At 41.6% G+C, this 18,161-nt stretch overlaps 1 pseudogene; it reads right to left on the bottom strand.

Annotated features, from left to right (window-relative positions):
* Positions 1-18,161, bottom strand: part of LOC100996723 (uncharacterized) — a 123,106-nt pseudogene that overhangs the window by 76,126 nt on the left and 28,819 nt on the right.

The following is an 18,161-nucleotide window of genomic DNA, read 5'->3' as shown; positions in this document are numbered from 1 at the left end:
TGACCATCACTCTGAGAGGCTGTTTTCTGGAGTGCTAAGTCCCCAATAGCTACAGTGAGCTACAAAATCATCGTGCATCCACAACAATTTCTTTAAGTTTCGGGATCTTTGTTTTGTTTTGTTTTTGGTCCAGCACTAAGTCTTCATCCTAAAGAAAATAAGGAAACTAACATTACTTTCTTGATGCTATCATCAAGGTTCAGAGAAACCCCTTAATAAGTAAGTAGTTATTTTTCCTCACTTTACCTTCTGAGGTCATCACATATCCAAATATCTAATAAATTTTCCTCTACCTCCCCTGCATCAGCCAAGACATAGGTATCACTCTTTCAAAAGAAGACATGAAAATAACCTGCTTTGGATTCAGTCACATTACCCCAGGGATGGTGTATGGTCTCTCCACCCACCTCTGAAACTTACCTTTTGCATTTTGCTTTTGGTCCTGGCAATGCACCCTACAATCCTCAGTTTTCATTAACAACTAATATCCACAATGCACTGGAGTATATTGCAGTTGGCTCAATCTTTCTAGAGCCCTAGACTGAATGTTAAGAAACAGGTGATTTTTTCCCCTTTCCACCTACTTTTATATTCACATAATCTTTCAGTTTCTTTTCTTTACAATGTCTATTTTTGATGATTTTAAAAGAAGTACATGCCTCGTAGAAATTTTGGAAAAGAGAAAAGTGTACAGAGAAACATAAAAATAATTTTTAAAATTCTACCACCTGAAGGCAACATTGATAAAGATTTTTATGTATTTAGTTGTTCTTCAGTTTATTTGCCTGTGTGAATTCTGCAAATGGAAATAATATTGAATATAACAGTTCTGCATCTTGCTTTTATTTACACTACGGAAATCAAAGGTTGTGAGGAATATATTTTTAGAGGAAGAGAAAGAGTCAGGGAAGGAGGAGCAGGAGAAAGAGGCAGGTGGGAGGAGGAGGAGAATTTCTCAGCAGCATTATAGACCTGTTGAGGATTAGCAAGAATGAATCTAGAGTCTTTCTTCTCAGTGCGGTTTTATAACATACTAAAACAACACTCATAGAATCCTCTAGGATTTTAAAATAAAATTGACTAAGGGTTACCAAGCCGGGAGATGGTTAAGGCAGTTAGAGATTCTAAAGCAGCGTTGAGAACACGATTCAAAGAGCTGACTCTGACGTCTAGGTTCAGTATGGAGGTGAATAAACAGCAGATGGCCTGGAAGATACAGAGAGTTGAGGAACTGGAATACATGACGCAGTAAACAACATTCAGAAAGAACGAGGAAGTGGGGGACTTGACCTGTGGTCAAGAAGTATAATTTCAGCATTAAGGATCCTAAGGGTGGAAAATCTGGAAGAAAGATGAGCTACAAAAGATGGCTGTGCTGATAGCATACTGAAGTGAATTCGAGTTAAGGCTATGTCAGGTCAAGGTATAACAGTGATGTATGTCCATGCCTAGTGACCCCTCTAGAATGTCAGTCTCTGGAAGGGAGGGTTTTTAGATCATTCACTATCGTCTGTCCAGCATTAAAGAAGTCTAGATCATAGGAATTTGATGCGTATTTCTTTTTTTTTCTTTTCCCGTAACTGAGGAAACAAGACACATATTTCTTAAACAATGATAAATACAATCTGAATGTATAATGGTGTCAAGTTTGATAACCTGTTGTATCCATTCTACAATAAGGAGACACCCACCAAACAGATATTCCCATCGGCCTTTTGGGGAATGTTCTCTGGAAAGCTCTTAATAGATGACCTTCTAAGTGCTAGAGGCAATGTTAGATGCTGAAGACTTATAGACAAAAACGTTTCATTCTGCCGATAAACTTGGAGTATGGAAAATATCAAGTTAACCAACTAGCTACATGCTACAACAGAGTAGGCAGAGCGTGTTCTGGCTACACCCAGATCTAGGTTCTAAAAATAATTCCTAAAGGAGGTACTTCTGAATCTAACCTCTGAAGGGTATACAAATTTATCCCAGCAAAGGCAAGGCTAGATGTGTAGGTGGGAACAACTGGTATATTAAGGCCCACTCATAATAATTTTAGCTCAGGGTAAATTAAGTCGCAATGACTCTCCAACCAGCTCCCCGGGTCTGCTGGCAATAATGCTGCTCCTGTGGTGCCAATAACCTGAAAATCTCCAAGTAATACAAGAAAGTTATACACAGAAAACCTCCAAGTGATACACAGAAAAACCTAAAACCAACTCAATTCCAAACTTTACATGTTGTCATTTGGTAGACACAAATGTGAACTTCTTCCTGCAATAAAAACCTATGTTGACTTAGTTTAAAAGCAGCATATAAAGGATGTTGCCCATAATCCCCTAACCAAACACGGCATCTATTTTCTCTTTTCTCTGTCCTTGTAATAGACATCCTAATAGGTATACATAGTTTTGATGTAATTTACACCTATCTTTTACTTTCTTATGTTAAAATTTTCTGTTTATTATCATTTCAGGAAACGTTTCAGGATAGTAATAGAGATTAACAGCAACAGTGAAGCATTTTACCCCAGAGAAGGGTAAAAGTTGGAAATGTTGCTATTGATTCACCTAGGTTATGCCACTTTAATGTCAGTGTGCCTCAGTTTTCCCCTTTACAATACAGGGATTCAGGTCTTGAAAAAGATATTTAAATTGAATGCAATATCCTTCTTATGGGACTATAACTTTAAGTAATTTGCAGTGTACTTTCAAGAACTGGAAATGTTGACGTAGTTATTCTACTTCTGAACATCTCTCATTCAAAAAATAATGCTGTGGAAGAAGATGCTTTATGCACCTAGACATTTATCAAGTATTATTTATAATAGTTAAAAATTGGAAGTCTACATCCTTTGGGTTAGGCGTAATGATTTAAAAGACACTGTAAATCCACAGCATGTTATTCTACATTATGAATGATAATATACCACATTATGAAGTGGAAAATAAATTCATTCTTAAATTGTGTGAAATGCTAGAAATTATTCAATTTTCTTTGTGAGTCAATGCTTTCTAGTTTTTTTGTTTTTTTTGTTTTTTTTTTTTTTTTCCGACAGAGTCTTGCTCTGTCACCCAGGCTGGAGTGCAGTGGTGTGATCTCGGCTCACTGCAACCTCCACTTCCTGGGTTCAAGCAATTCTCATTCCTCGGCCTCCCGATTAGCTGGGATTACAGGCACCCCCCACCATGCCCACTAATTTTTGTATCTTTAGTAGAGATGGGGTTTCAACATGTTGGCCAGGCTGGTCTCGAACTCCTGACCTCAAGTGATCCTCCTGCCTTGGCCTCCCAAAGTGCTGGGATTACAGGCGAGAGCCACTGTGCCTGGCCAGTGAATGCTTTCTGTATGTCAGAAGTTATTGCTTCTTTCCACCCTTTCCACCATGACCATGATAAGAAGACACTAGTTGCAAGTTACCTCTTCCCTCACTGGCCTTGGAAAAGACAAGAAAGAAAGACGTTTCTGTGGAATGTAACAAGCAGAAAAGGACTGAAGATAATGAGACAGATTAAGGAAAGATGAATCACAGGCTGTGAAACTGCTATGAAAATAAAACAGTATTATTATACAATTCATTATAAATAGTCTATGACTAATTTAGCACTTTAGCCATAAGCATTCAGAAAAAAGAAATTCAGATCATGCTTGTCTTGCTGGCCACAGAACTCAGAAAATGCTCTGAGGCAGAGGAAAACAAGTCCTCAGTGCATTTGAGTGTTTTAAAATAGAATCACATAGAGCCACCTTGGGTCAATATGACATCTCTTGTATTCTGGACTTTCTTCTAACTTTAAATGCTATTTGAATTTTTGCCAGAGACAACTTGTGGAATGTTCTGAGCCCAGTTTGGAATTTTATTTACAAAATGGGGTAGATTTCAATAGAAGTAGTGTCCTGGGGCATCCACTGAATGGATGGATGCTCCACTTAGCCTTGAAAATATGATCCCTCAGCCACAGTCAGGCGAGCCCCCCAGGATGGGGAGGGCACCATGAGGTGTTACTTATCCTTTCTGAGACAAAAACAACCCCTTCCCAGTCTTTAGGTATTTTAAACATAGTCTTAGCATGTAGCTGAAAAAATGGGGGTTGGGGGAGTCAGGTCCAGACTGATCTAGTATGTGGAAAATAAGCAAGTAGGAGTGAAAGCATTGATTCTGGCAAATTCCCCAAGCCGAAATCCAAGTATAGGCCCATTTAAAAGTAGACTGGAGTTGCCAAGGCAGAATTTCCTTCTTAAAATTCAGATAATTAGTTGCTAGCAGTGCTGAATATTAAACAGGAAATTCAACTTCCAAAGATGTTTCAATAATAGAATTCTGAAAACAAGCATTTTCCTAATATGAAGTGTTACATGCAAAGCACCAGCACCATAATAAGTAAAGGTATTGGAATTAACTAGGCCTTCATACAACACATACTAGTTGTGTGAATGCCAGCAAATCATTTAACCACTTTAACCTCAGTGGCCATATATCTCTGGTTGTAACTATGTCTTTGTAAACAGGACTCTCTACTAACTCACCATAAATTCAGAGAAAAATAAATGTCCCTGATTCCTCTAGGCTAAACATTTATATAGAGAAAAACAAATTCAAATAAGCTATCAATGGAGATCTGTTAAGTACAATATAGCTGTGGTAAATGGACACCTTGTCTTGCTTGAAGGCTGTACTCCAGAAAAGAAACAAAGTCAAAAAAATTCTTAAATTTTGAAACCAGATCATTAATTTTCTTGAATGTTACTTCCATTTTCCAAATTTTCACAGATACAGCAAGCAAATTAAATCAAATTGCAGGGGAATAGAAAACAAAACAAAACAGACTAATTTGCTTTCCTTTTTTAACCTTCAGTCTTATAGTTTGCCCTTAAACATTTCTAGTTCACTCTTTTCTTGAGTTATGTGTTCGGGGAAGTTGTATAAGGTTCATATATGATTCACCTGATGTTTACTCAGCTTTCTCATATGCTAGAAACCAGAACATTTCCACTGAAATGGGGAAGATAATTAGTAATGACTTTTTCAGCATTGAACGATGTGGTAGGCTAAAATAATGGCCTTATAAGAATGTCCACATTCCTAATCCCCAGATCCTGTGTATATGCCACTTTCCATAGCAAGAGAGGGCTTTGCAGATGTGACTAAAGATTTTGAGATGAGGAGATTATCCTGGATTATCTGGTTGGGTCCAGTGTAATCATAAGGGTCCTAGTAAGAGGGACACTGGAGGGTCAGAATGATCAAAGGAGATGTGATGATAGAAGCAGAGGCCAGTGATGGCATTGCTGGAAGGGGCTATGAACCCAGAATGTGGGCAGTCTCTAGAAGCCATGAAGGGCAAGGAACAAATTCTCCTTTAGAGCCTCTAGAAGGAGCACAGTCCTGCTGATACCTTGGTTTTAACCTAGAAGACCAAATTTCAGACTTCTGACCTCCAGAACTTTAAGGCAATACATTTGTACTGTTTTAAGCCACTAAGTTTGTGGTGATTTGGCTGGGTGCAGTGGCTCACATCTGTAATCCCAGCATTTTGGGAGGCCAAGGCAGGTGGATCACTTGAGGTCAGGAGTTTGAGACCAGCCAGGCCAACATGGTGAAACCCCGTCTCTACTAAAAATACAAAAATTAGCTGAGTGTGGTGCCATGTGCCTGTAATCCCAGCTACTTGGGAGGCTGAGGCAGGAGAATCCCTTGAAACTGGGAGGCGGAGGTTGCAGTGAGCCAAGATTGCACCACTGCACGCTAGCCTGGGCAACAGAGTGAGACTCCATCTCAAAAAAAAAAAAAAAAAATGTTTGTGGTGATTTGTTACACCAGCAATAGGAAATTAATACAAACAGTAATCCTGAAGTACTGATAATCTTTAAAGCAGAAGGTGTAGGGAGTTGCTAGTCCAGACAGGTGGATGTTAAAAATTTAGAGCAGTAGAAGCTGTTTGCCTGGTTGACACTGGACCTGCCGGGTGAGAAAACCTCCCCTCATCATCAAGTTCTTCATCAGCTCCATGAGCTTATTCTTTTGACAACTCTCGCCCTGTTCACGGAAATAAATCTGAAAGCTGGTGACCAAATCAGCTTTTTGTAATGCCAGTATATTCATAGAAAATTTGCTATTCCAGAGCCAACCATGCTCTGTCCAAATGATTTAACCAGTGAGTTTGGCAACAGTCAGGTAACAGCCCCAGCGGGTAGGGGGAACCTTTCCATTGAGCTGTAGAGGGGCAGATGATGTGTAGCTGGGAGTAGAGCATATCTAACTTTGAGAACTAAAATATCAAGCACCTTGTCCTTTGTGGGTAAATTGAGCAAGTAGCTAGCTTCAGAAACAAGTCATAAACTGAGTCACCTACAAAACTCTACTAAAATAAAGTAAAAGCATAGATTTTGGAATTAAACGGTTCAAGGCTATATTTCTTTCTCAGCTGTGTGTGTCACTCTGGGAAAATTATTTAATCTTTCTGAAGCTCAATTTCCTTTTCTTAAAAATGAGTATAACATTTACTTCATAGGGTTGTAAGGATTAGGTGAATTAAGTATTCAAAGAGATTAGCACACAATTAAAGCTTAATAAATGTTATCAATTATGGTTAATTTTTATTCTTTCAATCCCCTATCCACTGTGTACCCAGAGCAGCCACTGCGTATCTCTGCCTTAGTGTCTCTCTATTAAAATTAGAGATGATGAGAATGTAAAGCCATTAAAGGCAGAGACCCAGTCTCATTCATTGCATTCATTGTTTTATTCTTACCATCTAGCACAGCGTCTGACCTGTTTGGGGCTCTCAAAATTTATTTATTTATTTATTTATTTTTGAGACAGAGTCTCACTGTGTCACCCAGGCTGGAGTGCAGTGGTATAATCTCAGCTCACTGCAACATCCGCCTCCCGGGTTCAAGGGATTCTCCTGCCTCAGGCTCCTAAGTAGCTGGGACTACAGGTGCAGGCACCACACCTGGCTAATTTTTGTATTTTTAGTGGAGATGGGGTTTCAGCACGTTGGCCAGACTGGTCTCGAACTTCTGACCTCAAGTCATCCACCTGCCTTGGCCTCTCAAACTGTTGAGACTACAGGCGTGAGCCATTTCATCCGGCCCTCAAAGTTTTAATAAGTGTTTATGAACAAATCTGATCTGTGAGTTAGGAAGGATCTGAGATGTCAGCCATAATCTGTGATTATAGGATTTTTCCAACTGTGACCCATTAGGTGGAGAAATAAATTCAGTGAATCAGAGCCAACATTTTATTTTTAAATAAAAAGAATAGAATAGCAAATATCAGAGTGCAAAACACATAGTAAAGTTAAGTATTGTTACAAGAAACTTTGTTACATATGTAAGTGTACTTGGTGGCAATGTAAATATATTACTTATTGTGAGTAGTGGTTAAAAAATATGTGAACATTCTGAATGTTCCACCTTGCCAGCATTTGCTACTTTCTATCTTTTTAATTTCAGCCATTCTGATATGTATATAGCAGCATGGTGTTGTGGTTCTAATTTGCATTTCCCTGATAACTAGTGATGTGGAGCACCTTTTCACTATGTTCTTCCCTTTGGATACCCTCTTTTTTTTTTTTTTTTTTTTTTTTTTTTTTGAGATGTAGGCTCGCTCTGTCACCCAGGCTGGAGTGCAGTGGCGCGATCTCGGCTCACTGCAAGCTCCGCCTCTCAGGTTCAGGCCATTCTCCTGCCTCAGCCTCCCGAGTAGCTGGGACTACAGGTGCCTGCAACCACGCCCGGCTAATTTTTTGTATTTTTAGTAGAGACGGGGTTTCACCGTGTTAGCCAGGACTATCTCGATCTCCTGACCCCGTGATCCGCCCGCCTCGGCCTCCCAAAGTGCTGGGATTACAGGCGTGAGCCACCGCGCCTGGCCTGGATACCCGCTTTAGAAATCTCTTTTGTAATCTGTTTAAAAAAAAAACAATCTGGCAGTATTTACTAAATCTGAACATGCATTTCCTATTACGCAGAAATCATACTTCTACTTATTTACTCAACAGAAATGTGTACATATGTTCACCAAAAGACCTGTACAGAAATGTTCATAGCAACACTGTTTATAATAGCTCCAAACTGGAAATTGCCCAAGTGCCTATTAAGAATACAATGGACAAATAAATTTGATATATTTATACACTATAGAAGCCTATTTAAAAGCAAGAATAAATGGACTACAGTACCATATAACAGTATAGAACTCCAAAAGCAAAAGATTGAGTGAAAGGAGCCACGTACGAAAGAGTACATGGTGTATAATTTCATTTACATAAAGTTCAAAACTAGGCAAAATTATTCTATGGTGTTAAAAATTAGGATAATGATTATCCTTGAAGTCATCAGGAGGGCTTCAGGGATGCTGGTAATGTTCCCTTTCTCTATCTGAATGCCCATCCCATGAGTATACTCAGTTTGTCAAATTAATTGGACTGTAAATATATAATTTGCGATTTTTCCAAATCATTTCTGAATTTGTCTGAAATTGTTACATGTAAATATAAAATTTTTAAAACTTAATAAATAATACTTTTTTCTTCAAGTGTGAAAAACACTGGCAGAGAGCAAAAGGCCCTGATACACTCACTCCCATCACCATCAAGTGGTCATCTAGCCTTTGCCTGAGTAACTCCAGGGTCAACAATCTCTTTACTGCCCATACTGCCCAGGCAGCTAACTTGTTAGAAAGCTTTTTTTTAATTTTTTTTTGAGACGGAGTCTCGCTCTGTAGCCCAGGCTGGAGTGCAGTGGCGCGATCTCGGCTCACTGCAAGCTCCGCTTCCCGGGTTCACGCCATTCTCCTATCTCAGCCTCCCAAGTAGCTGGGACTACAGGTGCCCGCCACCACGCCCGGCTAATTTTTTTTGTGTTTTTAGTAGAGACGGGGCTTCACTGTGTTAGCCAGGATGGTCTCAATCTCCTGACCTCGTAATCCGCCCCCCTCAGCCTCCCAAAGTACTGCGATTACAGGCATGAGCCACCTCGCCCGGTCTTTTTTTTTTTTTTTTGAGGCGGAGTTTCGCTTTTGTTGCCCAGGCTGGAGTGCAATGGCGTGATCTCGGCTCACCACAAACTTCTCCTCCCGGGTTCAAGCGATTCTCCTGCCTCAGCCTCCGGAGTAGCTGGGATTACAGGCATGTGCGACCACGCCCGGCTAATTTTGTATTTTAGTAGAGATGGGGTTTCTCCATGTTGGTCAGTCTGGTCTTGAACTCCCGACCTCAGGTGATCCGCCTGCCTCAGCCTCCCAAAGTGCTGGGATTACAGGCATGAGCCACTGCACCTGGCCAGAAAGCTTTTTCTTTACACTGAGCCATAACTCGCCTCCCAACAACTCGCTTGCATCGGTTGTTCTGTCCTCCTAAGAGATTCTAATGTGATTCAATCCCTCTACCACCAATAGCTCTTCGGAAATTTGAAGGAAGCTACCACATCCTCCCCACTCCCAGTCGTCATTTCTCCGGACTCAGGAGTCCCAGGTCCTTCCTTTGGCCATCCCTCAAGGCATGGCTTTGAGTTCCCTCCTGTCTCTTGATTGTACTTATTTTATCTAATGATGCCCAGAACTAAGCACAGCCCTCTCGGAGAGGCCCAAGAGGAGCAGAAAGGAGCCAAAAGTAAAATCATCACTTTTGATCTAAACAGAATCTAGACAGCCTACTTCTTCTGTCAACAAACCCTAAGCTTCAATTTGCTCCTTCTTTAATATTCACATTATACCATTCACTCCTGTTGAGCTTAGCAATCAACTAAAAGCACCCAAGTCTTTTGCATAAGCCCCAAATTTACCTTCTGTGTTTGTACGGTCTTCACTCTCTCAGGAGTCAGAGCGCTCATTTGGCCCCACCCCAATTCTCCAAAGCTAAATCCCACAGATGGAAGCGTATCTGTTATAGAGACACCGCTGGAATAGTCTCCCTACCCTCCCACCCACTAAAAAACAGAAACGAAGTCTTTGTCTCAATACATGGTCTCTTATCCTTACCCTTTCCTTGAATGGGGCTTCATTTTAAAGTGTGTTTGGGGGAAGGACTGGAAGAAAACGCAGTTTCACAGGCCATCTCCAAAATCTGACCTAAAAGCCAACTGTTGCCTGGCCTCAATAAAGCCTGAGCAGTGTGGTGCCCTGATCTCTTTCCTTCTCCATTCCTCCCCCAAGTGGGCTCCAACTGGAGGTTGTGGAGATGAGTGCTGCTGGGCTCTGCTCACTCAGTCCCTTTGCCTTTGTGTGAGTAGTGACAGATGAGGCTGAGAAGGAAAACGTGGCAGGGTGAGAATAAACCTGATATTGTTCAAAGCATCTGACATCAAACATATCTCTCAAGAAGACCTACTGGAATCCCTCTAGCCACACGAACAAGGAAACGACAGAGAACCATTTCTACAGAAAGTTCCAGGCGGCCTCCCTGGGTATTTTTAACATCAGGACTCGGTGGAGGGGAGAGTCATTAAGCAAGGGAAACCCCGTAAAACAGAACATGTGAAAATGACCAAGAGAGGTGGGCTGGGAACCAGGCAGGGCGAGGCTACAGAAAAGGGAAGCTGTCACGGGACCCTGGTGGTGAGGGGCGACCTCTCTCTCCCTAAGGGCGCTGGGGGAGGGGAGGGAGGAGGACCACCAAGTCTGGAGTGCGGCGAGAAGGAAACAGCCCACCTACCTCGTCCAGGTCTGCTCCATTTTCCAGGCTCTTTCCTTAGTCTTAGGACGCTCCTCACCCGGGAGGGGAAGCAGCCTGGGAAAATGAGAAGCCTTGCCCACGAATCTCCAGCGCAAAAGGCAGCAGCTTTTTCCTCCCCAGCTCCTTTCTGCGTCGGCGGCGAAGAGAGAGCTCTGCTCCCTGCTTTTTTAGAAAATGGATTTGACGTGGCCGAACCTGCGGCTAGCCGTGCGACCCGCACAAGGGAGGGACTGTTCTCAGTAGGAGGCTGGACTCGGAGCGGCGCGGCGCCCGGGGCTGTTTCGTGAGCTGGAGCCAGCGGCTGCCCGGGCGGCGGTGCGCGCACTCTCCAGGCTGAGACACGACTGGCTGGCACGAGTTGCTCGGCACCAGCTGAGCTGTCAACCGCGAGCGGAGGCGGGGCTCCCGACAACCAGTGTGCTGGGGCACAATCGGCCCAGGTTGCACGCCCCCTGAACCACCCTCGCGTCTCCCCGACCCCTCTCTCGCTGGCTCAGATGAATGATGACGGCAGAGGGCAGAGAGCTTAGAGGACGCCGTACCAAGCCCCGTCCCTCGCCCATCCCAACGAAGGTCTTAGAATACAATCAACCAACTACAGGAAGAATTTGTAGAGGAGGTTTTCTTGTGTGTCTGCATCGCCCCACCCACAGGTAACCCCAGAGCCAGAGATGGAGTCTAGGAAGGTTTAGGAGCAATCCCGGCTGAATGCAGACGTATACCCTACGTGGTCATGGAACACGATGTTGTCTTCCTAGAGATGTGACATGCCAGTTTCACCATTAATCCAGGGACAGGACCCTTCATCAGGAAGGGAAGCATCCCAACAAAACCTTACAGCCCTATTAGCTGCCTGTATCCCAGACATCTCCTGTTTTAGGGTATTCTACCTCCTCGTTTTTCAGTTTCGCCAGCAACTGGGCTCTACCAATAGCTTCAAGGAGGGAGAAGCTTCCTGACTCCCAGAACACTAGAAAAGCCTCAAGACAGTAGCCATCAGGACCTAGACACTCCCTTGTGACTGTTTTAAGATCATGGAAAAGGCCTCTTTGGAGATGGCATTGCCTCAGGCCCTGTACCATGTACTTATGTATCAAGATTTAAACAAGGCAGACATACTATAATTAGAGTGCTTGCCACCCTGAAGCTCCTTTTTAGCTTTCAAATAAGACCGTTTTATTAAATGACATAATCACTGTTATTATTAGCACTATCACTGACCTTTTTTTTATTTGAAAAAGGCTTTATAGTGCCCACATGTGGCAATGTTAATTTCGTTGTACTTGTTTCAGAGATGATAAATTTGAGACCCCAAAAGGCCCAAAGTCTCTGCTAAGGTTCTGATACAGGCTGTGTTCTCCATTGGGTGGCCCCAGAGATATGTTCCCTGAATTTCTAAAGCTACAACCCACAAGACTTCTCCAGGATGAATTTATTCTTTCAGGCCTCCTAGGCATTTAACTCAGGAAGAACCTGGCATGCCTGGGTATTGGTGAGACTGTGGGGAGTCTGTGTTCTTGGGGGAACCTGTCATCTGTCTGTTATCTCTTGGATTGGTTCCCCTACATACTAGTACAAAGTAGGGGTGGGGAGGGGAGGATAACAAAACATTTGAAGGTTTAGCAGAACTATCTAAAAAGCCCCTAGTCTAGACTCCTCCAACACTTGATTTATTGGTAGGACCACACTGCTCCAGAGCTCAAAATGTTACCAGGAAAAATTTCAAGGTCCAGTTTGATCTTAGACAAGGCTCACAGGCCACCTGTCTTGAAAAGAATATCCTGTTGCCTCTGATGGGGGGGAAGAAAAGGCAGGGAGAGTCAGATTCCCATCCTTCATACCAAAGTTGGGGCTATATTTAGCTTTGTCTCAAATCAAATGATGGGCTACCGAGTTGTGGAGAGGAACTCTGTCTACAGGCAGCTCACTGGATTCAAGAAATGATAGCACTAACTAGGTGAGCTGTGGGGTCTCAGAAGTGACGCTAGAAAATACGTTCATGTATTTTTAAAATAACTTTTTTCAAAAGTTTATAGCACATTCATTGTAAAAACATTTGAAAAATACAGAGTTATATAGATTACTCAGAATACCCAGGGATCTTCAATATTAAAAATGTGTTGCATTTTTTCCCACTCTTTAAAAAATGCATCTTTTAATCCAAACACCAACTCTTTCTTACACACATGGGTATATTCTTGAGAAGAGAAATTTCCTTGTTGTTTTAAAAATTATACTTATTGTCAAAAGAACAATTTTTTTGCGTTAGATTTCAGAAGAAAAATATTCACCCATATAACCACTGCTACAGCACAAATGTTTAAATTTCTCCAAATTCCCTTTAGTCGTTATCTATATATATTAAATATCTATTTACATAATTACGATTACAGCTTAGGTATATGTTTATATTCTCCTTCTTTCACTTAGTAAATATTTGTCCATGTTTTTAGGGAAAGTTCATAGTTATTATTCTAATGAGTGTACAATATTTTATAATATTAGTAGGACCATAGATTACTTAAAATATTCTACTATTGCATAGTTATGCTGTTTCTGATATTAGACTGTTATAAATAATGCCTTAATGAAGAGCTTTCTGCCTTTATCATTCTCCTTTTTTGAATTATGCTATGGTTGAATGTATGTATGCCTTCAAAATTCATACATTGGTACTTAATACCGAGTGTTATAGTACTACAGGGTGGGGCCTTTTAGGAATATGTCTTAGGAAGTGATAAGGCATGAACACTCCACTCTCATGAATGGGATTAGTGCTCTTAAAAAAGAGGTTGAAAGGATTGCTCTGGTCCCTTTTGTCCTCTGTCCCTCCAGCCATGTGAGGACACAGCATCTGTGGCAACAAGGAGCCATCTTGGGAGCAGAGAGCAAGCTCTTCCAGACACTGAATCTGCCAGCACCTTGATCTTGGTCCAGCCTTCAGAACTGTGAGAAATAAATTTCTATTATTTACAAATTACCCAGTCTAAGCTATTTTGCTATAGCAGCAGGAATGGCGATTTTCCTGGGATAAAAGGACTTTCTAATTTTATTATCTTAGCCTCAAAAGCACTAGAAATTCTCCTTTTATTTTTTTCTTATTTAATTTGTAAATAATTGGATAGTTATATTTTAGTTCTATATCTAGCTAGTATACAAATAATGTAACACCATCTCATTTTGCTTTACATTTCTTAGAATACTAGCTAGTAAGGTCTTATTTCATATCCTTTCTTGGAAACCATATGTGTAGTAGCCAGTCTCATGAAATCCTTGTGTTGAGTCACTGTATTAGTCATCTTTTTGCTGAAACAATGCTGCTCAACAAAGAACTCCCCAATCTCAGTATTATACAACACACATCCATTTCTCCCTCAAGGATCTATAGTTTAGGTATGGATTGGTTTAAGTCTGTCGTTTTCATGGCAGAGTGCAGGAGTGCAAGAGAGTTGGCAGAGACTCATGATGACTGGTCTCTGCTCAGAACTGGCACAGTCTCGCTTCTGCCATTTTCCGTTCACCAAAGTAAGTAACATGGCCAAGTCCAAAGTCATTGGTGCAGAAAAGTACAGTCTGCCCACAGAGTGCAGGAGGGGAGAGTAATATTTGTGGAACAATAATGCAATCCACCAGTCACTGTATGTGCTGCTTTCTTGCTTTTTGTTAAGCTTTTCTCCTTGTAGATACATGGTAACTTTATTCTTCCTCATCCCATTTTAACTTAGCTATGACTTTTGAACAGTGAAATGTAACTTGTTTCGTTGGCTGAAACGTGAGAGGAAGTCTCATGTGGTCACTTCTGGGAAGAACGCAGACATTTTTAAGAGCTAGTACATAATTGGCCCTTTTCAGTTTCTGCTGTTTTATTGATCCTTGAAGATCAATAAGATGAAGCTTTCATCAACCTAAGTCCCTGAGTTACTGTGATGGTCAGAGCCTTCCTGCTAACCCTAATTGAACATGTAGAATGAGCAAGAAATTCATTTTTGTTGTATTAAGTTACTGAGATTTGGAGATTATTTATTACTGGAGCATAATCTAGCCTATCCTAACACATTGCTTTTTATTTCCATTTGGCAACCAAGTATTGTTATGTGTGTGTCTGCTCTCAGTTTTCTGGCTTAGAACTCAAATAACCGGCCGGGCGCGGTGGCTCACGCCTGTAATCCCAGCACTTTGGGAGGCCGAGGCGGGCGGATCACGAGGTCAGCAGATCGAGACCATCCTGGCTAACACGGTGAAACCCCGTCTCTACTAAAAATACAAAAAATTAGCCGGGCGAGGTGGCGGGCGCCTATAGTCCCAACTACACGGGAGGTTGAGGCAGGAGAATGGCGTGAACCTGGGAGGCGGAGCCTGCAGCAAGCCGAGATCGCGCCACTGCACTCCAACCTGGGCGACAGCGAGATTCCGTCTCAAAAAAAAAATAAATAAATAAAAAGAACTCAAATAACCTGGGTAAATGATGTTGATAAATTAAACTATTCATTTTATTCTTTCCTGAGGGCACTGCTCTTAGTTTGGTCAACTGATTGTGCTTCAGGGAATACCTGAATTGATGATAAGGGACAAAAAATCGGAAGGTGTCACAGTCTTTACAGTCAGCTCCAAATATTCCAATGATACTTTTACCTTTCATTCAGTTTTTAAAATTCATTTTCCTTTTCTTCTCTCCAACTTGTTTCTGGGTAAAAAGGATTATTGATGTTGATATAGTTTACTGCATAATCTATACATCAATAATAAAAATAGCTATGTCTAATATATTTTTGCCAGATCCTCCTCTAACAATTGTGTGTGTACTAACTCTTTTCATCCTCGCAGCAGTCTTTTGAGGTAGGCTCTAGTTAATGCCCACTTTACAAATGACTAATGTGGAGCACAGGGAGGTAAATTATACTGCCCACATTCACAAAGCTGATTGATGGCAAAGCTGAGATTTGAAACCAATCAGTTTTGTTTCAGAATGGCCTGCCTAACCATTTTGCGTACTGCTTCCCTAATTTTGACACGTAACATTGGCTGGGACTTAGATAGGAGGACAATATGTCTGCAACATCTGTCACTTCAGTGATCCCTGTGATCACCTGGTTAGTCAGAACATGATGTCTTCTTGATCCATCACAGCTCCATGTCTGTCTCTCTAACCTTGGGCTTAAAAAACAAATGCCCTTTCCAGACAAAGAGGCATCATTCTGAGATCAAGGATACAGTGTCTGTAGTAGATTAAAGATGACCACAAATTACTTGCTACTTCTCCCATTGAGAGGTGGAATCTAATTCTCCTCCCTTTAATATGGGCTACCCTTAGAGACTTACTTGACTAATAGAATACAGCAGAAGAGATGTCTGACTGGCCAGGCTAGGTAAGTAAGAAGCCTTGTAGCTTCCATGTGAGACTCTTGGGACATGTCTTCTAAGGCCTAAGCTGCTGGATAAGTCAAACTACCATGCTAGATAAACCACGTGCAGAGGCCATGAGACCACATGACAAGGGGAGGGGCCTAGCTGAGCACAACGACCAGCAGTTCCCATCAGGGTGCCAGGCATTATGTGTGAAGCAGTCTTCCATCAGCTGGACACAACTGAGCAACCCTAACTGTGGCCACTATGGAATAAATTTGCCCTGCTGAACCATGCTAGAATTATTGATTACCAAAATGATGAGATACAATAAATTGCTTATTGTGCTAAGTTTTGGAGTAGTTTACTAAGTAACAATAGATAACTGGAACTAAATTTGGTATCTGAAAGTGGACTTTCACTATAACAAAAACTGAAAACAAATGGCAATGACTTTGAACCTGGTTGCCACAGAAGTTAGAAAGGCCTCGAGAAAAATGTTAGTGAATACTGGAAGGACATCGAGGAGACTGCTGGAGAGACTGAAGGACAGTAAAGAAAATACTATGGGGGGTGGCTGAAGAAATGACCTGTGTTATGTAATGGCAGAAAGTTTTCGTCTTTGATAATGTGGGAAAATAGAAAAGGTGCCCAATGAATGGGAGGATCTGGCTAAGGAGATTTTCAGCAGAATTTCAAAACTACAAAGAGGTTTATTTTAGCCACATTATTATAAGATATTGATTAAAAAAAAAAAAGAAAAAAAGTGGGCTAAAAAAGGAGCCATTTGGTTTTTAAGCAGAATTTAGAGGAATTATAAAGAGGCAGGACTTGCTGGGTTCAGAAGAGATCGGGTGCATTCAGGGTGGCATGGCCGTAGACTTTGCTGGGTTCAAACATCAAACTACTTCTCATCCTCAATCTCTCTAGACAGGGAAAGTTTTCAAAATAAGAAATGGCTTCAGGGCAAAAATAAATTCCAAGATGTGACAGCTAGACCCATGATTAAGACCTCAATTAAGGTGGTGCCTCATATATCCTTTCAGTTAAACAAAAAGCCTTCTACAATCTTAGGCAATGCACCTCTCCATTGGACAAAAGAGTTTCTAAGAATTTTAAGGTTCTGTTATCCCATGTCAGACTCACCGTTAGTCCAAGCAAGGTGAAAAAGCTGGCTTCAGAATGAAATGTGGGTGTGGCTTTTGCCTAGTAAAGTTCATTATCAATTAGTATATAAGATGCCTTAACATTTTTAAGTGAATTATACCAGCATGGACTGACTGAAAAGGATGAAGAGAGTACAAAGTGAAAAGATGCCTTTGGACCCTCAACCTGCCTCAGAGAAGCAGGCTGAGAAAGTTACCCAGCCAAAAACAAGGATTACTTCTTAGGGAAAAAGAAGAACGGCTCAAAGAATGGAACCAAGAGCCCAGAGGACTGATGGATAGCCAGAGGGAATCATTCCCAGGAGCAGGACTGGGCCCTAATCAAGGAACTGGTAATATGTACTCAGCTAGATTTCAAAATTGCTGTGGACTACTGACCACTGTATGCCTCTGTTCTCTGACTCTTCGAATGGGAGTGCCTATTATGGTTATCCTATCTCTGTCCCATTGTTTCTTGGGTGTGAGAGCCCCAGTGACTTCAGATCAAGGGGAACTATACTCAAGGAGCTGAGTGCCAGGAGCCTCATCATCACCTGAATTTGAGTTAGATGGTGAGAAAGTGGACTTCTAGGCTGATGCAGTAAATGTCAGGAAACTTTTGAGGGCTTTAGGAGAGTGTGAGTTTATTTTGCTTGTGGTAATAATGTCTGTGGTCAGAGGAAAAGGAATGTGGTTGATTCAAGATGGCTACAAATTTTTTTGCTACTTCTCTTATTCAGAGGTAGAGTCTAATTCCCCTCCCTTGGATCTAAGCTGGTCTTCATGACTTGCTTGACCAATAGAATGCAGTTCTAGGCCACAAACTCCTGAACCTGGGCAATAAGAAACCTTGCAGTTTCCAGTAGGCCTCTTGATATACTGAGCTGCCATGAAAGAAATCCGACTACCTTGCTGGAGCTATAGAGAGGAGAGGTCTTGAGGCCACCAGCAGTCCTCAAAGGCATCAGGCACACAATATAAGTGAAGTTACCTGGGACCTCCAGAG

Source organism: Homo sapiens, chromosome 1, assembly GCF_000001405.40.
Source record: "Homo sapiens chromosome 1, GRCh38.p14 Primary Assembly".
Classification (NCBI taxonomy): Eukaryota; Metazoa; Chordata; class Mammalia; order Primates; family Hominidae; genus Homo; species Homo sapiens.
The sequence above is the reverse complement of the archived record's forward strand: the minus strand, read 5'-3'. Positions and strand labels throughout refer to the sequence as shown.